Below are 16,803 nucleotides of genomic sequence, written 5' to 3' on the forward strand. Positions count from 1 at the left end.
GCCTCCATTTCCCACTCCAGGCCCACTGCCCCCATGGATCTCCCTATCCCACCCCTGCCCTCACGTAGCTACGGCCCAGGGCCCCAAGACTCACACATACCTGCACGCCCTTCAGTCCTGGGGGCCCTTGAACTCCTGGTAGACCGGGTTGGCCCTAAAAGGCATAAGGTGGCCCATGGAGTCCCCACAGGAGAAAGGGGGACAGGAGGGAGAGGAGGCAAAGCCCAGGCAGGGAAGGGCCGGAGGGCAGGCAACTCACGGGTTTACCAGGTCGGCCCACGCCTTCGGGGCCCTGCTCTCCTTTGGGGCCGGGCTGCCCAGGCCGTCCTGCCATGTCTGTCACTGTCCCCTGCAGGCTGGGGCAGGCAGTGCAGCCATCACCCTGGTCAGAGATGGGTACAGCCAGGAGCCCATGAGCCGGGGCTGGCACCCAGGCCAGGACGCCCTGCACCCCTCTGAACACTCTGCCCCTTGAATGCTCCCACGTCAGCCTGGGAAATCAAAACAGGCCCCTGACACTCCTAGCAGAGGAGAAGCCCCGAGGAGCCTCCGCTCAGTGACTCTGACAGCCGTTAAGGCCCCAGCTGGCCCTGCAGTCCTTCCCTCACTGGTGCGACACCTGATTTTTTTTATGCAACAAACTCCCCGACCCCAACCACCCCGCCTGACTAACCTTTTCTCCTTTTGGCCCCGCGGGGCCCTGAACTCCAGGCTCTCCTGACAGTCCTGGCCGCCCTGTGGTGCCCGGCGTTCCAGGGTCTCCAGGATTCCCAGCATCACCCTGTAAGGAGTGGGGTTCAAGGAAAGCAAGGATGGCCCAGCCGGGGGCAGGTTGCCCCCCTGGGACTCGCAGGCACTCACACTCCTTTGCCGGGGCTGAGGGTTGGGGGCTAGGGAGGGAGGAAAATGAGGCAAGGAGGGGATCTGAGATGATGCCATGCCCACCCCCGTGCCCACGGACGCCCTCTCACCTTCTGCCCCTTCAGTCCACGCTCTCCAGCCTTGCCCTGAGGAGAAAGCATTTCCAGCACCCGCTCACTCATACCAGCCACCCCAAAGTGCCCGGCACCACATCAGGCTGGGGCATACAACAGTAAACAAACAAACAAAATCTCTGCTTTCGTGCTAGTGAAGCAATCTTGCCCAGGTGCAGAGCAAAGATTTGTGCCAGACTCTTTGCCTGGGTGACATGAGCAAATTAGCTCATCTATCTCCGTACCTCAGTTTCTTCAGCTGTCAAATGGGGATGATAAAAATAGTATAGGCTTCTGCCCTGTAGGGATCCTGTGAGGTTAGACAAGCTAATATGTCGTGTGCAGCAGTGCCTGGCACATAGTGTCCACTGTGGTAGTGCTGGCCGTTACTGTGAAAGCAGTAACAGTGATAATAACCACAGTGGTAACTGCCATTTCCCCAGTGCCCATGGTGTACCACTAAGCACTTCACACACGCCATTACTAGGCTTTACTCTGTGCAGGAAACAGAGGTGGAGAGAAGGTGACTTGCTCAAGTCAAAGACTTAGTAAGAAGCAAAGCTAAGATTGGAACCCAGGTCTCTCTGCTCCTAGGATGGCGTGCTTTCTGCCCACTCTGCCATACTCTGTCCCAGGATAAAGGGCAGAGACCTGTGAGGGCCGCTCCTGCTGGAGACAGAGGCTCTGACCCCGCCACACCCTCCCCACTACCCCCAACTGCCCAGGGAGTCAAGAGACCCAGGCAGGACCCCTCCCCTCTCCTTAGCCCCGCCTGCATCCCCCGTCCAGAGGCCCCTGCCTATATCCCACCTCACCTGTTTTCCTGGCAAGCCAAAGCCTGGAGGCCCAGGTTCCCCCTTCTCTCCGGATGGGCCAGGCAAGGCCACCACACGGACATCCCCATCCTGAAGGTTGGACAGGGCTGGGCACGGCTCACAGGGCTCCCCCTGCCAAGCAAGGACATTGAGTTAGGGGGTCCCCCAGGCCCTAGTGCACTTGAGCGAGGTTTGGAATCTAGGGCTGGGGAATGTCACTGGGTCTGACACTGCACCTCTGCTGGGTGAGGGGTTATCTTGGGAAAGATGAAGGGAGAACAGGAAAGAAACAAAGGTGGAGCTGAGTCATCAGGGGTCTCCATGCCTTGCTAAGGAGTCAGACTCTGCCCGACAGACAGCAAGGAGCCCCAGAGGGTTCGAAGTCGAGCAAGACGAGTGTCTATCTAGGAAGCTCACCCAGGCTGCAGCACGGAGAATGTCCCCAGACTCACCTTCGCCCCTTTGATGCCTGCTGGCCCCACTGGTCCTGGTGGCCCCTGCATGTTAAGACGCTACAGGTAATGCCCAGCATCTGCCAGGGCCATGCCTATCAGCCCCTCCCACCTTGTCCTCTCCCAAGCTGTTGCCATCCAAAACATACTTACTGGACTGCCAGCTGGCCCTGCCTCCCCGAAGTTACCCTGAGAGAAAGCACAGAAACCATGATTAAAGAGGGGATGGAGTCTGGGTGCTAGAGCAATCCCAAACCCAAAACTGTAAAAGCAACCCCTTCAGATGTCCAGACTACCCTCTCATGTCCAGAGAGGAAGAGGGCTTTCTCCAAGGTCCCCAAGGGAGTCTGTAACCAGCCAGGGGCTAGAAGCCCTATTTCTGCCCCCAGCTTCACCTCATGGAATCCAGCCCACCCTCAGCCATGTCTCAGCACACAAAAATCACGAAGGCATTTTTCCAACAGCCTTTCATTGGACACCTTTACAGGCGGAGCACTGGGCTGAGGCACTGGGTAGACAGCAGTGAGCAGGACAAACAGCAATGCCTGTTGAGCTTGCACACGCAGAACTTTCTAAATCATCATTTTAAACAGTGGTGAGTACTATGAAGGAAATCAACAAGGTGATGAGACAGAGTAAGTGGAGGTGGTCAGAGAGGTGTTAACCCTGATTATTACCAGAAGAATGAGAATAAGGTCATCCAATGAAAGAATGGGGGAGGGTAGAGAGGAAAAACATTCTGGATGCTTCTAGTGGGAACCACAAGTACAAAATCTGACGGGTGGGAGTAGTCCGGACATATTCCATAATGGAAAGAAGATCCGCACGGCTAAAGCAGAGTAAACCCGAAGAGAAGGGGAAGAAGCGGATGAATTTGGGAAGGATGGGGGCTGGGGCATCCGGGGTCCTGTGAGATACAGTGGAGCTATGTTAGAAAGTAAGTCACAGAGGGACTCTAAGGAGGGAAATACTGATTCTTCTACAAAGCCACATTAAACTACCGGGTGAAGGCTGGGCACGATGGCTCACGCCTGTAATCCCAGCATTTTGGGAGGCCAAGGAGGGTAGATCGCTTGAGGTCAGGAATTTGAGACCAGCCTGGCCAACATGGCAAAACCCCGTCTCTACTAAAACTACAAAAATTAGCTGAGTGTGGTGGTGCACGCCTGTAATCCCAGCTAATTGGGAGGCTGAGGCAGGAGAATCACTTGAACCTGGGAGGTGGAGGTTGCAGTGAGCAGAGATCACACCACTGCACTCCAGCCTGGGCAACAGAGTGAGACTCAGTCTCAAAAAAAAAAAAAAAAAAACCAACAACGCACAGACACACACACACACACACACACGAAAAACTACCAGGTGAAAACCGGACTGCTGCAGGGCTACAGTGGCCACGGGCAGGCCAGAGGAGGTTCCACCATGCAGGAGAGAGGCCATGGGGACGCAGATTACTATGGCAGTGGTGGGCGTGGAGAGAAGTGGAGGGGGTGAGAGAGCCATCATGGGCAGAACTGTCAGGACTCGCTGGGGGGCTAGAGGGAGGGGGCAGCGTCAGGAGTGAAGGATCTGAGGACGACCGCAAGGCTGGGCTTTGAGGGGCTGGCTGTGAGCTGATGACTGAGATGGGGAAGCTGGGAAGAGGCGGCAGGTGGGGTGGGGGTGCAAAGGCCCCACATGTGATGTGACATGTGGGCTTCCCCTGTTAGGGTTGAGTCTGCACACATACTTCAGTGTTTCTCACACTTGAGCACTCGTACACCCACAGAATTTGGGTAACATTTGGGTAACACTGCATTAGAAGTTCAAGCCTGCCATTTGTCTCCAATGCAATCATAAATAGATACGTTAACACAGGCACTGAAATTGAGTGACCCACAGGCGTAGTGAAGATTACAGTCTCTGGAGCCAGGCTTCCTGGGCTCAATCCCAGCTCTGCATCCAATCACCTGGCAATTTACTTGGCCTTTGTGTGCCTCCGTTTCCTCATCTGTGAAATGGGAATAATGGAGCACATACCCCATAAACTCTGGGAGGACAAAACAAGTGAATATACTTACAAGATTTGGAATAGTGCCCGGCACATCATAAGCAATAAAGAAGTGTTACATATTATAAATATAATAAGGTAATCTTGAATGTGCTTAATAGTTTTAGAATATCATCACAGCTACACTAAGGAATTCTCTTACAGAACATGAGGGCTCTCAGAAATAAATTCTTTGACTCAAGTCTGCAAAACACTAGTAAATTAATTTCACTGTGAATTTACCGTCTGAATCTCTTGTTTATATTACCCTTATTCCCCGCCCGCACCACTCCTCCCCTGCCTGCCTGCCAAGAAACTCCAGTGTCCCTGACATCTAACCCAGGTCTCACCTTCTCTCCTTTCAGCCCTGGAACCCCAGCTCTACCCTGAAAAACAACCAAGACAGAGTCTCAGCATCTCCCCACTCCCACCTCTCCAAGGCTCCCCGGGTCCCAGTGTCCAACCAGAAACAGAACGGTAAGATAGGAATTATGTCCTTCAGGTAGCTGGACAGTTTCTTCAGTTAGACAACTGAAGCTAGAGGTGCTAAGAGGAAGTTCCAGGGCAAGGAGCCTGGGGCAGCACAGGGACGGAGGGAGGGACCAGGAGACAGGCCTGGGACACCTGCCTCTTCCCCTCCCTCCTGATCCCTGCCCTGAGACTTGGGATCTGAAAAGCCAGGGAGATCAACAGTATGGCAAGGATGGCTGAACTGGGCTGGGCTGGGAGAAAGTCGTCACTCACCGGAAGGCCAGGCAGACCAAAGCCAGGGGAACCCACATCTCCACTGGCCCCTGTGGAGGACACAAGATGCTGGGCCCCTACAACCGAGCTGCAGGACAAGCAGGGCTCCCCCTGGGGAAAGAAGAGGAAGGATCAGAAATGCTTCCAGGTAGGCAGAGGAGGGCAGCCAGGAGAGCAGGGTTCCCTCACCTTCTCTCCTTTGATGCCTTGGATGCCAGGGTCTCCCTGCAGGGTAAAAAGGTTTGTGGGCTGAGGCAGGGCACGATGGGGCACCCCCAAACTCCCTGGCAATATGCGAGGACAGCAATGTCACACACGCAAACCGTCCAAACACCTAGGGGTCCCATGGGGTCCAAGGCCAGCACCCCAGAGGCAGGGTTCATCAACCCACATAACAAGCAGGAGCGTGGCGGGGGGAATGACGCCAGGTTAAGCTAACCCAGTGGGAAGTTCCTGCATATACCCAATCACCTTTTTGTCTGACAGCTCCCAGGTGCTCCTGAAAGAGGGGGTCTGTGAGAGAGGGGGCTAACCCAGTCCTGCTCACTCCTTTCCTCCACCCCCAAAACATACCCAATCCTAGGACACAGCCTCACTCACAGTAAGGGTGGGCTCCAGCCCAGCTTGCCCAAAAGGCACCCTAGAGTCTCCTGGAAAGCCCTGGGAGGTTGCCATGGAGACCGGAGGTGGCACTCTAGCCCAGCCCTGAGTTCTATGGTTCAGACCCCTTACCACAGTAAGAGCCTAGACTCTCTGCCCATAATCTCTCTGTAGCCACGAGAAGTACCCAGCCCCTCTGCCCAATTCCTCTCTATGATCATGTCCCCAGGTTTCTTTGTGTGTTGGGGGAGGTCCCTCAATGGTCACCCTGGGCACTCACCCTGGCTGGTACAGGATCACCAGGCTCCCCTTTGGGCCCTGGCTTTCCAGGAAGTCCAACAAAGTTCTGGAACCCTTCAGGCAGTGTTGGGCACACTTCACAGGGGTCACCCTAGCAGAAGGGAGAGGCAGTATGTGGACAGGGTGGGGCTGAGACCCCAGGGAAGGCAAGGGGCCTCTTGCGCAGACCAGCCCTAGACATTGGGTCCACCAGAGCCCCACCCCCAACATCAAAGTGGACAGCAGGAATGCCGCTGGGGCTTCCTGTTCAACTGACTCATTCATTCACCACAAGATTCCAGGGTGGCGCAAAACTACATCCTCGCCGTAAGCCTTAAAACATGACTGTGCCCCACTGACAGACATGGAAACTTGGGCTAAGAGAGAAGCTAATTGATCTGGCACATTCATAACCATGTGTGTGGTGGAGGCAGAGTTTGAACCCAGCTCACCCCTAAGCCAGGTTCTTTATGTACTCACTGCACATGGACATCAGAGGAAGAACGGGTGGGGGTCCCCTGAGGAAGGTCCAGCACCCCTAGGCCTAGGGCCCTTGATGCTCACTGTCATGTGCAGAAAGGGGGTCCCGTTCCCACCCCGATCTGGGCAGCCAGGCCTAGGACTCACCTTCTCTCCCTTCACACCTGGCTTCCCCTGTTAGAAAAGAGGCAATGGGCATCAGTGCCAGGGCAGAGGGCTGGTGTGCCAACTGAGGGCCGGAGGACCTAGCCCCTCCCTCCAGAGGCCTTGGAAGAGCCGACCCTCCCCCGCTGGATTGGTGTCACTCACAGGTTTCCCACCAGGGCCTTCCTTTCCTGGGATCCCCGAGCTGCCCTGTGGTCAGAAGAAAGGATAAGCGGGGAGCCTTCTGGCCAATGCAATCTCGGTGCGTTCCCCCTTCCCCACCCGTGCCCCTCTGTGATGGCAGAACAATCGTTGCCAAATCTCTTGTTGCCATTTGTTCCATTCGGTCGGTTCCTGTTGCCTGCCCTCCGTGTCTAACCCAAGCCATTCTAGGTTTCAAAGGAAGGGAGAAAATGAAGCTTCTGTGTGCCCCTTCACTGGTGCACAGGTTAAGAGGTGATCCGCGTGACCCCAGCAGTCACAGACAGAAATTTCCAGAGCTTTCTGCACATCCAGGCACAAGGCTCTAAAATGAGCTTGGGCCCTCCAGCAAAGTCCACTTTGATCTTTACAACACTTAGGTCTGCCCATCCCTATACCTGGAACACAGGCGGAGGTTGCAGTGAGCAGCTCAGTGAGCACTGGGATGGGGACAGGACGCTCCCCGCCAAGGGGCCTGGCCAAGCCGAGCCCAGCCTCCTCCTCCAAAGGCCCGGCCTCCTCCCTGGGACTTGCTTCCCCTGTGGGAAGCTGCCCCGGCCCCTTCTCTCTCCTCCTGTCAAGCATGGAGCTCCCCACGTGACCACACTCCCACCTATGCTCACCTTGTCTCCCTTGGGGCCTGGTGGGCCACCTGGATCCCCCTGAGGGCAGAAACAGAGTCACGTGGAAGTTTCCAGGGACCACTCGCTACAGCGAGATCTTCTACCCTCACCCTCTCCTCCAGCCAGGATCCCTGGGACAGAGCCTTATCTTCCCCCCGTTCATTCCCTGGCCAGGGTGGGAGAGCGGTCTCTGAGAAAAGCACAGCAGGAGAAGCAAGGGGGTACTCACCGGGGTCCCAGGCAGTCCTATCCCAGGGGGTCCAGGGAGGCCGGGGGGCCCAGGCTCTCCTGCCAGCCCCTCAGGCCCAACAAAGCCAGGGTCTCCCTGGCACAGACATAAGGTGGGCATCAGAGAGCTGCCACCCCAGCCCTGCCACCCCATCTCCACCCCACAAACATCCACAACTCACCTTCTGCCCTTTGGGCCCAATGACACAGATCTCTCCTGGCCGGCCCTGTGGGGGGATAAGGGGGAGGGTGTACAAACAGCCCTGAGGCCTGGCACCGCCCCACTGGGAGAGGTGAATGCCCACCTGTCCCACCCTCCCTGCCCCTCCCCCAAACCAGAGCCCACCCTGGTGCCCCAAGGTCAGCACATGTCAACCTTATGGTGTTAGAGGTTCGGGGCTCTGAGGCTGGGAGTGAGGGGGCCTGGGCTCAGGTCCTTTTCTGTCCCCTTCTTGCTGTGCCTCCTGTGGCACAGCCCCTCCCCACCCTGTCTGAGCAAGGGGAGGGGGCTGGATTCCCGAAGGTTAAATCCCAGCATTCTCAGACCCCGTGCTGTGGGTTGTGGTGGGGAAGGGTCCCAGGCACCTACGTCCCGGCCTGGCTTTCCCGGCACGCCCTTGATGCCTCCGTCGCCCTTCTCGCCTTTCTGGCCCTGGGGAAGGAAGAAGCAGAGTGACCAGGATGAGGGAAGGGCCTGGGACAGCTGGGCAGCTCCATCTGGTGGAGGGACAACTGCCTTCTAGACCCCTGGTCTCTGTCTCCCCTGAGGGTGAATGGCTTCAATCACCACGGGAGGGTAGACAACAGACCAGACAACAGGTAGAACTTCCAAACCAGCCAGGCCACTTACTGGGGGAATCTGTGGCATTTCCCTCTAGGTCGGCTGGGTATTTGGACGAGGCAGGGTGACTGGGGTGGGGGAGATGGGGGAGGGAGGGTCCTGCCAGCTCTGTGCCCACTGACACCCTCTCCTCAGAGAACCCCGACTCCTCCTTCCTCATGGCTGTAGAGCCTGCAGACCTCCCTGGAAATCCCCCCTCCAAATCCAGGCTTGTTACCTTCTCGCCTGTTGAGCCTGGGAGTCCTGAGGGTCCCTGAGATGAGGAAGGGAGACAGAGGAAGGGAGGGTAAGGCTGGGCCCTGGACCCACCATCCCTGCCCTATCCCTGGTCCCACACTCACCAGAGCTCCTGACTCCCCCTTCTCTCCCTTCGGGCCTTCTGCACACTGAACAGGGGAACACAGTGTTGAGAGGGGCAGAGGGTCACCTGATGGGCTGCCAAGCGCACAGTCCCTCCCCAGGGGCTGGCCCCATATTGGCCCTGAAGCAGGCATCACCTCCAAGTCTTACCTGAAGTGGGGCATCCGGGGAGATTCGAACACAGTCATTGCCCTGGGAGTAGGGAACAAGGGATCAGGGGTGGGAACTCCTGGGGAAGTCCCCTAGATGTGTTGTGAGGAGGATCGGCCCGGGAACCCCATAGTCCTAAGTATCCCTAGAAAAGGGGGGCTTCTACACCCAAACCCCTAGAAAGACCCTGGCCCTCACCCCCCTCCCGTGATCTGGGCCAAGCTGCAGGCTTTCTGCCGGGATGATGGGATGATGGCTCACATCCCACCTCACCCCAGGGCACAGCTGGCAAAGGTCCTGCCACGGGCAGGGCTGGGACACTTACCCGTGCTCCCTTCTCTCCCTTGGAGCCTGGTGGACCAGGCAGGCCCCGCTCACCTTTCCCTCCCTGAGAGTGAAACCAGAATGGAAGATAGGACCAGAGGGGGCACATGGGAGCCTTGAGAAAGCTCTCCCCACTTCTGGCCCCCTCCACCCATCCCCCCACACACGGGTACGCAAATACGCACACATGTGAGCAGTGTCCTGCCCCACGCCTCCCCCCACCACACACAAGCATATGGATTCCACACCTGTTCATCCACATGCCCTCCCACCCCAAGATGCTATATTTGGCAAATCTACAGTCTCAAGCAGGGGGGTATCCCATCCCCCACACCCGTACCCAAGCACATCAGCTCACACACAGCACAGCCGGAGGCATATGGACACACACATGCACGGTGGCAGAAACCCATGCTGGCTGAGTGTCAGGCTGCCTGACTTCAAATCCTGTACTTGCTAGCATGTCACTCAGAGCAGGTCATGTCGCCTTTCTGAGCCTCAGTTTCTTCATCAATAAAACGGTATTGACGAGCACACACAAGCACAACTCACAGTTGCATAGCTTCGCTCCCCATCACTCACAAGCTCTGCAGCCTCGTTAGGCCCACAGGTATATGGGTTCAACTCCAGCCTTCGTGTGCCACACATATGCAAACATGTGTCCCAGAGATGCATGTAGCCACACCCACACATAATCATTCTAACACACCCTGTCAGACATATGTGGGCACAGCTGGGCCTCAGTTTCCCCTGAAGTAAAATGATAGCACCCACCCTGCAGGCTGACTATTGAGAGGGTTCAAAAGGGTAATAAGTGTGCATAGGTGTGGCCTAAGGCCTGGTGCACAGAAGGGCCTCAGAAAAGGGCAGCTCTTAGCATCTTTGCACACACACAAACCCCTGCTTTCTTTACCACGCATACACTTAATCACCCTACACACATACAGGCTCAGGTGGCCCTGATAGAAACACACAGCCACAGGGTCACATGCTGTGGGAATGGCTGGGGATGCTAAAGAGGACGGGAATGTCCCGTTCTCCATTAGGACTCACCTTGGGGCCAGAGGGAGCAAGTGTGACCTGAGGGGACAGAGGAGAGGGCATCACACTTCCGGTAGAGAGAGAAAACCAGGGGCCCAGAGAAGTCAAGCAATTTAGACAGGGTCACACAGCATGGTAGCAGGACCAGCAGCCTGTATCCCAGCCCCTGCTCTGCTTCCCAGGCAAACTAGCAAGCCGATTCCATTTCCTCAGCCTGTAACATTTGCAGAGGGTCTAACCTACCTCCTCTAAACTGCCTGGCTTTGGTTAGCTCCGCCTCCCAGTTGCTGGGATAACATGGCTGCTTGGTTTCCATGGTAACCTCTGCACATCTGGGGACCATCAGTCTTAACAGATTTGGTGGGGGACTGGATTGAAAGAGGGAGCAGGGAGCCTAGGAGGTACTCCTGATGTCCCCCAAAGTCAGGGGGCTTAGAGCTGAGGGGAGCTGGGGTTGTGCCCTTGGTGGACCAATGTGGCAGGTCAACTCAGAATGTTAGGCCCCAGAAAAATGGTGACTCATGCTGCCTATGGAAGAGGCACAGTTGGGTGCCAGCTGGGCTCACACTGAGCCCCTCTCCTTGCCCTTCTGGACCCCCATAGGAAGGCTGGACCAGGGCCAGCTAGAAAGAGACAGCAGGCCCTGAACCAACGCTGTGGGAGCCCTTGCCGTGCTGAGCCAGCTCTTCCCCTTCTCTAGGCCTCCAGGAGAATGAAGGAAGCCTCCACCAGGGCAGGGGGAGAACTTGCAGGGAGTGCAAAGCTGCGATCAGCAACCAAGGCGCTGGTCCTGCCGGCCACCATCCCGTGCCCATGCCCTGAACCCGAACACACTGCAGATGACAAGGCAGGTCACAGGCTTTCTTCCACACAGTCCTGGCTTGGTGGAGATGGCAGTGGGGGTTAAGCCCGGCTCTGGGAGATGGGCAGGGAGCGAGTGTGAAAGTGTACAAAGACCCCCTTGTCCTCACCCAGGAGGCTGCCAAGCCAGCTCTAGGCAACGTCCACTCCCGGCTCTTGCCCGCTCCACCCTGCACACCCTCCATTCACTCACATTGCTGTCCCGGGCACCATGGACACAGGGCGGACACTGAAAGGGAAGAGCAGGCGAAGAGGTCAATTCTGAGCCCCTGGGGTGAGCCCTCCCCACCTCCATCACCACCAGGCCCACAGAACATCACACATATCTTGAGTGGAATCTGAGGGGAGCCTGAAGATAGGAATCCTATAAAACAAGCCTCACCCCTCATTTCCCACCCACCCAGCCCCACAGCCATTTTTCAGATGGGGAAACTGAAGCCCAGAGAGGAATAGCAATATGCCCCAGGTCACACAGCATGCTGGGGCAGAGTACGGCCCAGAATCCAAGGGCACCGTGGCTGAAGGCTGGGCTCTCCCCATGATGCCCGTGGCCATTTGCTGCCAACTCAGCAGGAGTGTCCTCCAGGGCTACCTACCCCCCAACCCAACGAGAGGCAGTGGACAGACAGGGCCCAGCATCAGGCCCTCAAGGAATGCCAGGAGCTGTGTAGTCAGCCAGCACCCCTATGCTGAGGATCCGTGCCCAAAGCCTGGTGCAAAGGGTTCATGCTGGCACCTCCCCTGCTGCCAGTCCACTGGGAGGCTTACCTCATCGGCTGCTGTCTCCTGATGGACCTGAGGAAAGGGTGGGGGGTGTGGGAATGGGCAGGGAGCTCAGGGGGCCGAGCACTGTTTCCAACACCCCTACCCCCAAACCAACAGGAGTGGGCACTCTAGAGAGTGCCAGGCACTGCGTCTGTCTCACCCCCATCCGTCCTTCTTGATCAGAGCTGGCACCTACATGTCCTAAGCTCTGTCCAGGAGGTGGGAAAGGCGGGAGGAGAGTGGGAGTGGAGCACCTTATCCCTGGGGTTTACAGGGGCACAGAGGGCAGACTGAGGGCAGGTAGGCTCCTCCCCCCACCCCCACCTCTACCTTTGCTCCCCTTTCTGCCTTCTGGCTGATTCTTCCCGTCAGCTGGGCATCCACCTGGGCAGACAGAGCAAAGAGAAACCCTTGAGGAGGGGGAAGTTCTGGGGTCCAGGCTGGAAAGGGGCACCCAGGCAGGGGGCATGGGCCCCAGGTAATCCTTCAGCCTGGCATCTGGCACCTCCTGGGGCATCAAGGGCCTGCTCAGGCCCCTGTGGCTGCCCCAACAGGTCCCCCTCCTTCCCCCCCCACCCACCCATGTGATGTCAGAGCCAACAAGACCATGCATCAATGGGATCCTGTGTTCCTGCAGCCCAAGGCTGGGCAAGATGCCCGAGCGGGCAGGGAGAGTGCCCAGCCAGGGGGTGGGGCTAAAGGAGGAACCAGGCTTCCATGCCACCTCTAAAGAACCTGAGAGTGGGCAGACAGCTGGCCATGGTGCTGGGTGTAAAACCAGTCTGGCCCTGGCCGGCGCTGGGCCCAGGAGAGTGAGCCATCCCTGGGGGGAAGCAGTATGACCTGACCTCTGATCCCAGGTATCTCTGTTCTGGAGAAACTGGCTTTGAGGGACAAGCCTGGTCCTGCCCTCATCAGAAGAGTCTGGATGGCATCCGTGAGGGTCTAGGCAGTGCCAGAGCTAGATGGTACCACTCTCAACACCCATAGGTAGGTGGGCACAGGGCCACCCAGTGGTGGCCAGTGGGCTGTCTCTGCCTCCCTGAATCATTTAGGGGTGGCGTACAAATAGGGAGGGCTTCCAGTGCCCCTCCTGCCCTGGGCCCATGGCCAACTGACCCTGGTGGCAGACGTCAGTCAGCTCAGGGGAGGGGTATCTCACTTGTGCCTGCCTGTGCTGGCATCCACCTGTCCTGCCCACCCACCTCGCTGTTTTGAGGCTCCTCCAGGCAGAAGCAGCGGGTGTAGACCTTGCCTTCAGACTGTGGATTGATCTCAATGAGCTCATTGCTCTGGGTGTCCCGGCGGGCCTTGGAGGTCTCTGGGGGGCACTGTTTGGTGGAAGAGCGGGGCTAGGGTCAGTACAGGAGCAGACTCCTCCTAAGACCTCCAGGCATCACCTTCCAGACCCTCATCTCCAGCACAGTGTGTCCCTGGGCAGCCCAAGGGCCGGGCCACTCACCCCTGCTGGTAAAATCTCACAGCAGCCCTCCTCCAGCACGAGCTCCGGGTCACAGTAGATGTGCACCTGCTGAAGGTCAAACTGCAGGAGACACACACATCAATTTCACTTCATTTTATCAAATAGCTCTGTGTCCTGGCCCCCCAGGAGGCACAGAGATGTCTCTGCCCCAGGATGTGACCTCAGGGTGTTTCCAGTCTGGCCTGGGAGACATCAAAAATAGAGTTGTCACCAAAGGCAGAACAAAACTGCGCACACAGGAACGAGGGAGAGGAGGCCCAGAGGAACAAAAGAGGAGGAGGTTCCATTCATGCTGGGCTTTGAAGGGCTGGTAGCTACTCAGCGGATGAGTATGCAAGGAAAGGCATTCCAGGTGGAGGTAACAGCGTAGGCAAAGGCACGGCAGTGTGAAAGCACTGGGTGCGCTGGATGGCTAGGATGGAATTGATCAGAGCAGAGCTGCACGGAGAGATGTAAAGGAAGATGGTGCTGCAGACACTTATAAGGACCAGATCATGAAGGGCCTTGAATGCCAGGTGAATATGTTTAGGCTGCATTTGGAGGGCAACAGGAAAGCAGGGGAAGATTCTAAGCAGGAGAAGGACTTGTTCCGATACGGATTCCAGGAAGCCCACTCAGGTTCCCAGAAGGCAGGAACAGAGGTCAGGGCCTGACCTAGCACTCACCGAGACAGGCTTGCCCTGCTCAGCATCCAAGCCTAGAAATACATGGCCCACAGGCCTCATGGGTCGTCGGGGCCCCAGAGGCTGGGAGGAGGCTGAGCTGCAGTCCACGTGCACAGAGGCCACACGTCCAGCCACACTCAGCATCAGCTTGTGCCAACGCAAGTCGAAGAGCTGGGGCACTGGGAAGATGCAGGACACAAAGTCGCCATCCTGGCCCTGGGCCCTGAGCTCCAGGCTCCGCTCTTGGCTGTTGACTTCCAGGGATATCTGGGTAGAATTTGGAAAGGGAAAGGACAGAGATTCAGAGCTCCAGAGTCACACCATGGGCACGTTCAGGGACCTTGAACTCATTTCACAGGAGGGGAACTGAGGCCCAGAAAGAGAAGAAAGCCGGCTGGGGTCAAGGAGCTATACATCCTGAAAGAATGAGGTAGGTACTGGTGGGCTGGGGACAGGCTTGAGGGTAGGCACAGGATGGAGCAGGGAGACCCCAGAAGTCACAAGCCGGGATGAAAGGTGGGCTGGACTGGTGCTACCCAATGCCCTAAGAGGCAATCAGGGCACAGGGGAGGTTCACCTGTGGATACCCATTTGCATCGGTCACTTGAAACAGATACCACGTCTTCTGGTGGGTGTGTTTCTTCAGCAGTAGTGTCAGCACCAGGGCAAACTCCTCCGGGAGACCCCGAGGGAATACTCTTCTGGAGATGGAGCAGGGAGGGTGCCCTGAGGCTCCAATGAGGACCCAAATGCTGCCCACCCTGAGCCCTCAGGACTGCTGAGCCTACCCAAGACATCCACAGGCACACATCTTCCATCATATACATTCATTCACTCTCCATACCTTTACTGAGTGCCTTCCGCGAGCTAGGTGCGGGTCTGGCTGCTGGGAATAACAGTGGTGAAGGCTGGGTGCGGTGGCTCATGCCTGTAATCCCAGCACTTTGGGAGGCCGAGGTGGGCGGATCACCTGAGGCCAGGAGTTGGAGACCAGCCTGGGCAGCATGGTGAAACACCGTCTCTACTAAAAATACAAAAAATTCGCCAGGTGTAGTGGCAGGCGCCTGTAATCCCAGCTACCCGGGAGGCTGAGGCAGGAGAATTGCTTGAACCCAGGAGGTGGAGGTTGCAGTGAGCCAAGATCACGCCACTGCACTCCAGCCTGGGCAACAGAGCAAGACTTGGTCTCAAAAAGAAAACCAACCAACCAACCAAACAAACAAACAAACAAAAAACCCACATACACAGTGGTGAAAATACAGAGGCACTGCCTGCCTTCATGGAGCCTTCACGTCTGATGGGGGCAGGGAGGCCATGAGCAAAGAATCCCCAGAATGACTATTTCGCTATCGCATTGCAATTTGAATAAGTGCTTCCAATGAACCCAGAATACCCTAGGTGAATAACTGGAGCAAGGGTGGAAGGAGAGATACTGAAAAAAAGATGGAAAGGGTTCAGCATGACCAGAGCAGCAAGAGATAAAAAAGAGCATTTTGAGAGCTGAGGTTGAAGAGGCAAGCAGGGGCCAGGCCAGGGCTTGTGGGAATTTGGACTTCACACACATGGGTGCACACACACGCATGTGCGCACACACACACATGCACACACGCACATGACTCTTGCCAGGTTCCCGCCCACATCCTGTGTTCTCACAGTGCCCACAGGATGCAGACCTGTTCCCACCCACTGCTGGCCAGAGACAGGGGAAAGACAGAAGGTAGGTCTGCCAGGTACCACCTCTCAGCCCACCCTGCAAGCCCAGGGGTGGAGACCAGGTTGACTCCTGGCAGGGGCTGGGATGCAATGACCCACAGACAGGCCCCTGGGCTTAAGCCCCACATCTGGAGTTGCTGAGGAGTGTGGCTGAGGTCAGTGTTGATTCTCAGTGGTCACATGGATGCATTTACCGCGTGGGCTGGGTCACGGGGGCCGCCCCCAGGCGCAGGATGAGAGGCCCCTTGGGGTTGCGGATCTTCTTGATGGCAGACGTCTTCATGAGGCTGAGTCGGTGGATGAGGTTGAAGCCTTTGGGGGAGACATCAGGTGAAGAGCTCAGCTGAGCAGGTGGAGAGGGGTACAGATCACTCCCAGAGGAAGGTTGCAGGGACGGCGCGATGAGATGGTTGGGTGCTCACCAGTCACGTTGGCTGGCAGGCTACTACTGTGTTCCAATTTGAGTCCTTCCTGCTGTGAAGGTGGGCATTGTGCACCTAGAAGAGAAGGGGCAGGGGGGCATTAGGTGCGCTCAGGCCAAGGTTGCTGCACGGCTGGACGCCTGGGGAACCTGGGAGGGAGCAAGTTTATAGTCCTCACTCTGGACCATCAGCTAGATCCTGCCTTCACCACCTGCCTTCTGACCCTGGCTCCCCAGGAAGCCTGGAGGCCCCCAACCCAGCATACAGTTTGGAAGACTGAGGTCCAGAGACTGAGGCCCAGGCCAAGGTCACTAAGTGAGCCAACAGCAGAGCAGGCCCAGAACTCCAGGAACCCAAATCTCCCAGCACTCCAAGTCAGGAGCTAGGCCAGCAAGGGAGAGAATACACGAAGCTCTAGGTGGCTCTCGAGCACAGATGGAGTGGGGAGCTGTGTATTTACACATGTGCCCCCTCCATGACATACACCCAGGTGGGGGGCAGAGGAGCTCTTCAGGGGTAAGGAAATGTCAGAATCATGCACATTGTGTGTTATGTACAATTATATGTACGTGTCTGTACATGTGGGAGTTGTAGGTGCCCATGCCACGAGGG

General features: G+C 57.0%; 1 protein-coding gene across 19 annotated transcripts in view, besides 2 other annotated features; it reads right to left on the bottom strand.

The window, feature by feature from the left end:
• COL16A1 (collagen type XVI alpha 1 chain) overlaps positions 1-16,803 on the bottom strand; it is a 51,755-nt gene that overhangs the window by 31,587 nt on the left and 3,365 nt on the right. For 8 of the 19 annotated variants that reach the window (XM_011540723.2, XM_005270481.2, XM_017000338.2 and 5 more), the window contains exons 3-33: positions 16,192-16,266; positions 15,964-16,081; positions 14,634-14,757; positions 14,057-14,323; positions 13,371-13,451; positions 13,114-13,239; positions 12,239-12,292; positions 11,912-11,938; positions 11,337-11,372; positions 10,295-10,321; positions 9,243-9,305; positions 8,918-8,959; positions 8,749-8,793; positions 8,625-8,660; positions 8,156-8,218; positions 7,749-7,793; positions 7,568-7,663; positions 7,339-7,377; positions 6,680-6,724; positions 6,518-6,544; positions 5,892-6,002; positions 5,201-5,236; positions 5,012-5,122; positions 4,618-4,653; positions 2,395-2,430; positions 2,242-2,286; positions 1,790-1,921; positions 972-1,007; positions 674-781; positions 260-382; positions 101-154 (exon numbers count right to left, since the gene is read on the bottom strand). In XM_011540723.2, coding sequence (XP_011539025.1) covers positions 101-154; positions 260-382; positions 674-781; positions 972-1,007; positions 1,790-1,921; positions 2,242-2,286; positions 2,395-2,430; positions 4,618-4,653; positions 5,012-5,122; positions 5,201-5,236; positions 5,892-6,002; positions 6,518-6,544; positions 6,680-6,724; positions 7,339-7,377; positions 7,568-7,663; positions 7,749-7,793; positions 8,156-8,218; positions 8,625-8,660; positions 8,749-8,793; positions 8,918-8,959; positions 9,243-9,305; positions 10,295-10,321; positions 11,337-11,372; positions 11,912-11,938; positions 12,239-12,292; positions 13,114-13,239; positions 13,371-13,451; positions 14,057-14,323; positions 14,634-14,757; positions 15,964-16,081; positions 16,192-16,266 — 2,264 coding nt within the window. Of the gene's footprint in view, positions 1-100; positions 155-259; positions 383-673; positions 782-971; positions 1,008-1,789; positions 1,922-2,241; positions 2,287-2,394; positions 2,431-4,187; positions 4,268-4,617; positions 4,654-5,011; positions 5,123-5,200; positions 5,237-5,611; positions 5,836-5,891; positions 6,003-6,517; positions 6,545-6,679; positions 6,725-7,338; positions 7,378-7,567; positions 7,664-7,748; positions 7,794-8,155; positions 8,219-8,624; positions 8,661-8,748; positions 8,794-8,917; positions 8,960-9,242; positions 9,306-10,294; positions 10,322-11,253; positions 11,373-11,911; positions 11,939-12,238; positions 12,293-13,113; positions 13,240-13,370; positions 13,452-14,056; positions 14,324-14,633; positions 14,758-14,900; positions 15,043-15,963; positions 16,082-16,191; positions 16,267-16,803 lie in introns of those variants that run through there. The other 11 variants (XM_047446431.1, XM_017000339.2, XM_047446432.1 and 8 more) reach the window with 9 other exon arrangements.
• Positions 12,613-13,122: an enhancer, noted in NCBI's record as "H3K27ac-H3K4me1 hESC enhancer chr1:32162063-32162572 (GRCh37/hg19 assembly coordinates)". NCBI's record gives its function as "activates a minimal SCP1, AML or CMV promoter by ChIP-STARR-seq in primed H9 embryonic stem cells {active_cell/tissue: H9 hESC(primed)}" and the evidence as "EXISTENCE:reporter gene assay evidence [ECO:0000049][PMID:30033119]".
• Positions 15,267-16,020: an enhancer, noted in NCBI's record as "H3K27ac-H3K4me1 hESC enhancer chr1:32164717-32165470 (GRCh37/hg19 assembly coordinates)". NCBI's record gives its function as "activates a minimal SCP1, AML or CMV promoter by ChIP-STARR-seq in naive and primed H9 embryonic stem cells {active_cell/tissue: H9 hESC(naive and primed)}" and the evidence as "EXISTENCE:reporter gene assay evidence [ECO:0000049][PMID:30033119]".

Source organism: Homo sapiens, chromosome 1 (assembly GCF_000001405.40).
Source record: "Homo sapiens chromosome 1, GRCh38.p14 Primary Assembly".
NCBI lineage: Eukaryota > Metazoa > Chordata > Mammalia > Primates > Hominidae > Homo > Homo sapiens.